Source organism: Homo sapiens, chromosome 5, assembly GCF_000001405.40.
Source record: "Homo sapiens chromosome 5, GRCh38.p14 Primary Assembly".
NCBI lineage: Eukaryota > Metazoa > Chordata > Mammalia > Primates > Hominidae > Homo > Homo sapiens.
Genome location: NC_000005.10, coordinates 35,810,957 through 35,818,868, shown reverse-complemented (window position 1 = coordinate 35,818,868; position 7,912 = coordinate 35,810,957). Strand labels below are relative to the sequence as shown.

Genomic DNA, 7,912 nt, shown 5'->3' with positions numbered 1-7,912 from the left:
GGAGATAAATTGCTACCGTGTTTGTTTATTGAAAGGCCATTTAGGACATTTCTGAGGTAAGTTTCAGTGGATTAGTAAGGAGAAAGCAAGATATTTTACAGGTTAAAAAATTGGCTGCAAAGCAGAAAAATAATAGATAAAAATTAGTAAAATTAAAAAGCTGGTTATTTGAAAAGATGAATAAAATTGATTAATCTCTAGCCAAAGTGACCAAGAAAAAAGATGAAAAACGTCTATCAGGAATAAAAAGAGGTCATCATTACAGAACCTACCAATGTTAAAATAGTAAGGGAATATTATAAATTTTTTGCCAATAAATTTAGGAACTTAGATGTAAAGGACAAATTCCTTGAAAGACACCATATCTCACCCAAGAAGAAATAGATAATAATCCTATAGCTATTAAATAAATTGAATTAGTAATTAAAATTCTTCCAACAAAGAAAACTCTGGTTCAGGAGGCTTTATTGGAAATACTTAAGGAAGAAAAACTAATTTTACATAAACTCTTCTATAAAATAGAATGAATGCATACTAACTTGTTTATGATGCCAGAATTAACCTTCTATGAACACCAAGTATATTATAAGAAAATAAAACTATAGACCAATATCTCTCCCAAACCCAGACCAAAAAATTCTCAAGAAAATATACATATGTAACAAACCTGCACGTTGTGCACATGTACCCTAGAACTTAAAGTATAACAAAAAATATATTTAAAAAATTAAAAAAAAGGAAAATATTAGTAAATGAAATCCATTTTTGTACAAAAAGTGTAATACATTCCTGGAATGCAAGACTGGTTCATCACTCAAAATTAAACAAAATAATTTCCCATATCAATATTCTAAAAAAGAGAAGGCATATGATAACTTTTTAGATGCAGAAAATAATTATCTGACAAAATTGAATATCTGTTCATAAAAATAACTGTCAGGTGGTAAAGTAGGAGGAGTGAGGGCAAATTATTATTTTAAGAAGTCTGACAGTAAAAGAAAACAGAGAGAGAAAGAGAGAAAAGTAACTCTAGGCATAATTAGAGTAGTGTTATGGGAAAGAGATTTCCCCCATATCTTTAAGTCTTGAACAGGTTTATATGCTGAGGGGAAGTGGCCAGAGGAGAGAGACCAAAAAAAGAAAATATTGGAAATAATGATGGACTAGAGTTTTAGAGGTTGGGGAGGGATTAGGACCTATAGCATGATAGGAGCAAACAGACTTTAAGAGGTTTGGTACTCTGGGACTGAAGGGAAGGATGAGAGAATAAGTATGGATGCAGAGGTTACATGAAGCAGCAAAGCTGGGCACTGTTAGAGGTAAGAGGAAAAGTGAAAAGGCTCACATTGGACATTCTTACAGCTCTCAGAGATTCCCATCTCGAAGGGAGGCAATGTGGTGTGGAGGAAAGAGCATGGGCTTTGGCATTGGTCTCTACTGGAGTTGAATCACAGCTCTGCCTGAGCCTAGTTGGGCAATCCTGTGCAAGTCACCTAACCTCTATGATACTCTGTGTCCTCACCTGTAAAGGGGAAAGTAATAGCAAACCCAGAGCATTATTACAAGGACAAAATAAGAAAATTATGCAGGCAACATAGCACACCTCATAACCCATAGCAAGTGCTCAGTACATGCTATTCTCATTTCTGTTGCCTTTATAAAGAAAATAGAGGTGGGACCAACATTGTGGGAAATAAAAAAGACATTTGGATCAGAGCTTGTGGGAAATGCAATGAGATGTTTACTAAAGACGTGTGAAAATAAGTGAGTAGTAGCAAGGTCAGATAAGATTGCGGTTATGTGTTAAATAGATCATGCTATGATAAGCAAATAGGGGTAGGAGATAAACGTGCAAACAGTGGAAGAAGTGAGAGAGACTCTGGCTCATGCCCAGTCACCATACCTGCTTCATTCTGATGATGATTAAGAGACTCTGATCTGGCAAAGACTGACCAGGAGACCCTTTGTGTGCTGGTTGCCATCCCACTGCTTAGAGGAGTTAATGAGCCTCAAAAGAAAGATTCTACAATTTTCCTATTTAACAACATTGTGCCACAAAATTATTATGGGAATGCTGCTTGCTCTGCTTCAGTGTTTTTCTATTGCAATGTATTGTTGCCTTGTCTCGTTCAGTTCTTAATGAAATGTGGATTCACTTACTGCCTATGTCCTTATGATATTTTATTGATTTGAACTCTGTTTTCAGATATTCTTCTCCTCCCTTCTGTAGAATTACTAGAATTACCCTGTTGGTTCACATGTGAATCAGCCAAATTGAAATTTTGTAATCTCAGGTAGGGCTTCTTCTCCATCTCCCAAGCACATGACTGGGTCAGTATCCTCCATTAGCTTGAAGACAAGTGCTCTTGGAGTAGAGCTTCAAGTGAACTTTAGCCCACAAGAAGCAAAATTAGGAAATGTGTCTCTTTGTAGAATTAGAATTAGAATTCCCATTAACAATAAGAATTGTCTTGGGCTGCTCATTGACTTAGTGATCAATTTAAATGTGATTTTCCCACATATTTTGCACAAATGTATCAACATAACATAAAGCTGCTATGGTTTTTAGTCTTAGGTTCTGGGGCACAGCAACAAAGCAAATACACAAAACTCTGACCTCACAGAACTTACAACTGACTGGAGTGATAGATGAGAGAGTAAATATACTGTAGTTTGTTAGATGTTGATAAGGGCGATGGGAAAAAAAAATAAGAGTGGGGGTAAGATGTGGTGAGTTGCTTCTATTTTGTATGAGGTAGTAAGAGAAGGCTTTATTGATAAAGTGACATTTGAGCAGAGACCCGGAGGAATTTGTGGGACAAATAATGCAGAGATGTGGGAGGAAAATCATTCTAAGCAGAGAGAATAGCAAGCACAAAGGCCCTGCGGCAGGAGTGTACCCGGTGGGTTCTAAGATGTGCAAGGTAGTTTTGTCACTTAAGCAGTGAGAAAGGGGAGAACAGTAGATGGGGTCAAAGAGGCAGGGAGGGTAAGATCAAGATGGGACTTGGGCTGGATTCTGGGTGACATAGGACATAGAGGGTTGGAGCAGAAGTGTGACATGGCCTGACTCGCATTATAAAAGGCTCCCTCTGGCTGCTGTGCTTAAAAACAGCCTGTAGGGCGAGCAAGAACAGAAACAGGATCACTGGTTACCCGGATACTGCAGTAATCCAGGCAAGAGATGGCAAAGGCTTGGACCAGACTTCCTGCGACAAAGGAGTAAAGAAGATCACATTCTAGATGCATTTTCAGGGTCTATCCTACTTGATGTGCTGATAGGCTGGAGGTGGGATATGAGAGAAAGAGGCAACTCAAGGATGACTTCAAGTTCTCTGGTCTGAACAGCAGGAGGACACAGTTGCCTAAAGTGAAGGAGGACTTAGAGGAGCAGGTTTGCGGAAGAGGAAAATCAGAAATTCACCTCGGACACGCTGAGTTTGAGATGACTATTAGCCATCCATGTGGAAAATGCGGGGCCATTAAGACAGAGAAGTTTGGATTTTGGACGAAGGTGGGAATAGAAATTTCAGTGTTGGGAGCCTCTGTAATACCCATGAAGTCATGGAAATCGATGAATCATCCAGAGCTTGACTGCAGATGGAGAAGGCTGATTCCTGGGGCCCTCCTAACTCAGAGGTTGAGCAGAAGAGGAGGATTCAGCCAATGAGGAGACCCACAGGGGTTATCATAGAAGCAGCCCAGCCACCAAGAATACATCACCATTCTTGAAACAGTTTATTGATAAGTGTCATTGAATTTGAGTCACCAACTTATCAAGCGAAAAGATGAAATTGTACATCTATCTATGAAGGAAATATATTCTATTAAGAAATAATTATGAATAGATGATGGGAACAAAGCTTTACTAGCAGTTCAATAATGCAGCCTTCTTCTTGGCTATTGAAATAAACCTGGAAATTTTACTGCATATGGAGAAAGAACTGTAAGATGTACCTAGAAGCACTGTGCTGATGTGGAGTTTTGGGGAAATTTTCACTATATCTGCCTAATGTAGATACCTTTCATAGGGAGTTTTCATGACTTATTTTTGAACATCTTGTTTTGGGGCCTTCCATTTTCAGAATCACTTCAAAATGCATTCCTGCTTACTTTGGATTTTTACTTTGGATTTTTTTCTCTCTTTATTATGAAATATTCTCCAAGTTAAGGAAGGTTCCATTTTCAATGCCGATAATGAACTGGTAGGGTTCATTTCTATACTTAAAATGGTAACATATATGACAAACACCATGGTCACATTTAATTTTTGGAAGATTTATTGCAGAATTAAAAAAATCACACTCTTTTGTCTTCATTTCTTTTCCTCTGTATGTCTTGAAGGTGATCTCTCTCCATCACTTCCTTGTACATGTTCACTCCTTTGGAGAATTATTTTAATATCCTAAGACAAAAGATTCAAAGAGAAGTTACAAATACTAATAAAGGATGATCAATACTATACTATACAAATACTAATAAATGATCACATAGTACATGGCAACCATTAAACAGTTTTTATTTCTTTTTTTCCACTGAGCAAATTTCTCCATTTAGTTTTAATCCCACCCTGAGACTTACTACTTGTATGTTTGGAAAATTATCTAAGATCTTGGACCCTCAGTTTCCACACCTAATAATGGAGTTGTCATATTAGGTTAATTAACATTTGTAAAAGCAGTTACACAGAACCTGGCATATAATGAATGGGCAAGTTAAAAGATTGTTTCCTTATGAATGAACAAAAAAACCAGTATTCACCCTCTATGAAAGTAAATGCTAATGCTAAATTAATCATGTCTATAGATTTGTAGAATTTTAAAACAAAAGATTACTTTCCTGAAATTGTCTCATTCTTTCATTGTAAAAACATCAGGGAAAGAATGACCTGTTTTACATTTGCTATACAGCTATCTTACATCTTAAATCACAGATATTTTTCAAAATATATTTAAACTATTATTACAATGTAGAAGGAGTACCAACATGTGAAAAATACAGAACTGCATTTAGGTAGCTTTTAGGTTTTTTTTTTTATTTCACAATTTTAGAGAAGTATTTTAACAATATAAGTTCCTTTTCCTCAGAGCTGAGTTTCAAAGGCTTCAATTTGACTGTGATCATTTTAGTTGAGAAGACATGAGTTTGTTCACCATATGTGCTGACCCTTGCCAATTGACATATGCACTGCTTCTATCAGTCACTGCGAGGAATCATAGTGAATCATTTTCTTTAGAGATCTTGTTCCTTGAAAACACAAATCTCCTAAAGCCAAAGGTCAATGCTAAGTGAACCAAGTGGAAAAGAAAAGCTGCTCCCCATTGACTTTTCTAGTCTTACCCAGTATAATTCTTCCATTTATTATTTATTTTTTTTAGAAATAGAGTTTCGCTCTGTCACCCAGGCTGCAGTGCTGTGGCATGACCATAGCTCACTGCAGCCTCAATCTCCAAGGCTCAAGAAATCCTCCCACCTCAGTTTTCTAAGTAGCTGGGACTACAGGCACATGTCACCATGTCCAGCTAATTTTAAAATTTTTTATAGAGAGGAGTCTTGCTCTGTTGACCAGGTTTCTCTCAAACACCTGGCCTCAAGCAATCCTCCCACCTCAGCCTCCCAAAGTGCTGGGATTACAGATGGCAACCACTGTGCCCAGCCCACTACAATTCCTAATAACATGTCTTCTTTATATAGTATGTTTATAATAACTAATGTCATTTTAATATTATCAAAAGTTAATTTGAGGATTAAGGAATAAGCTAACTTGTGATTATCTGACACTCCATAGCAAGGGGAAAATGATAAGCTCCAGATATATTTAAACCAGTCTTAGCTAAATTTATAGCTGAAATCAGGGACCACAATTTTCAGTAGCAGTGAATGGAGAAGAGCCTGTGAAAGCCAGAAAATGTTTGACACTGGTGCTTTGAAAACACAAAGCACTGAAGCAGCTATCATATTTTGTTATAAAGATAAAGGAGAAGCTTAGAGAATATTTTAAAGTCAGGTGCCCTGAAGACAAGAGGGATGAAAGTCTCCTTCAGTTCGCACTTATAATTATAGGTATGTTATCCTAATGTAATTGGGTCCTGATTCATTTGTTTATAAGATATTTTCTGGTGATATTCTAATGTTAACATTAAAAGATTTCTTGCTATCTCCTATTGAATATAAACCTCAATTATAAGGTAATATGCTTGATTTACATATTTGTTTTAAAGAATGTATAATAATTGAGCCTGCGTTCATCACAAGAAACTAAAGTTATTAAGTTTTTAGAGAAAATTGTTTATTCATTTACATTTATAAATATATATTTATCACAGGAAATTGACTTTGTTCACCAACAACCCAGTTCCAATATCCTCACTGATCTTCTTATATTTATACAAATCATTTTCTTAATAATTTAGGAGCATTATTTGAAAATAACTTTTTTGTACAAGGCCTATGAAAGTGGAAATTAAATAAGTGACTTTAGCTGAATGCCTATAATGTCCAACGCAAAATCTGGAACTTCCACATAGGTATGGACCAGAGGCTTCCTGGGACTTCAATTTGGACCCTTTATCATCATGGCACTGCACCAGTAAAGTCCTTCTTTTTTTCCAAAGACAAGACATATGTGTTCAAGAGATTAGATGCCAGCTCACTAGTCCATCCACATATAATTGCACGTGATTCAGAATTTCTTGTGCACGGTAACTACTACAGACCAGCAGTAGTAGAAGTAGGTTGGTGCAAAAGTAATTGTGGTTCTTTGCCATCAAAAGTAATGGGAGGCCAGGTGCGGTGGCTCATGCCTGTAATCCCAGCACTTTGGGAGGCCAAGGTGGGCGGATCACGAGATCAGGGGATCGAGACCATCCTGGCTAACACATTGAAAACCCATCTCTAATAAAAAAAATATGGAGAAATTAGTCGGGCGTGGTGGCAGGCACCTGTAGTCCCAGCTACTCGGGAGGCTGAGGCAGGAGAATGGCGTGAACCCGGGAGGTGCAGCTTGCAGTGAGCCAAGATTGCACCACTGAATCCAGCAATCCAACCCTCCAGCCTGAGCAACAGAGCGAGACTCTGTCTCAAAAAAAAAAAAAAAAAAAAGTAATGGCAAAAACTGCAACTACTTTTGCACGAACCTAATAGTAGTAGTAGTAGTATCTCATATATATTGAGTGCTTTCTATCTTCCAGGAACTGAGTTAAACACTTTATATGTATTATCTCCTTTAATTTGTACAAACCCCACCCCCCCCACCATGAGGTGACTATGATCATTGGCCCTATTTTACAGATGCAGACACCAAGGCACTTTGAGGTCACTTGCCGAAGGCCACACACTTCATAGGTATGAACCCAGTCAGTGCAGCTCCAGAGCCCACTCTCATAACCAAAAGCCAGTACACCTTAAATGCATTATTACAATTATGCATACTTATTTTTTTCAAATATGTATCTTAAAATGTTGTCACTTCTAAACAAGAACCTTGTAAACATAGAGCTGTTAGGCAACAACCTTCACTTCCCACTGTTTATAATAGCAAACAACATTTTAACCTGAAAAACCACACTCTAGCTTTTGCTCTTCTTATCTTGAAAGATCTTCAGATGACATCACTGTGGTTGAAGTGTATTATAAAAATGTGATCTATTTACTTGTACATGGATATCTGAAGCAAAAAATGACAGGACGAGTGCAGTGGTTTGAGTCTTCAAAGATTCTTTTCTCTCCATTCCTTCATTTCTTTTGTTTTTATTTTATTATTTATTATTTTTTTTTTTAGCAAAAATGAGAATAGAACACCTTACTGGAAAGGGACCCTTTTTCACTGTAAATATTAGAATGTAGACTTTTCAGGACACAGGCACAACTCTTCTTGATGGACCATCATACAAATGAGTCCCCTGGGTGGTAG

General features: G+C 37.1%; 1 protein-coding gene across 4 annotated transcripts in view; it reads right to left on the bottom strand.

Moving 5' to 3' along the window:
- Positions 1-4,257: 4,257 nt before the first annotated feature.
- The window catches only part of SPEF2 (sperm flagellar 2), a 196,749-nt gene continuing 193,094 nt past the window's right edge, over positions 4,258-7,912 (bottom strand). For all 4 annotated transcript variants that reach the window (XM_011514136.4, NM_024867.4, XM_047417767.1 and 1 more), the window contains one exon: positions 4,258-4,405. In XM_011514136.4, the coding sequence (XP_011512438.1) occupies positions 4,316-4,405 (90 nt within the window). In that variant the 3' untranslated portion in view covers positions 4,258-4,315. The remainder of the gene's footprint in view (positions 4,406-7,912) is intronic.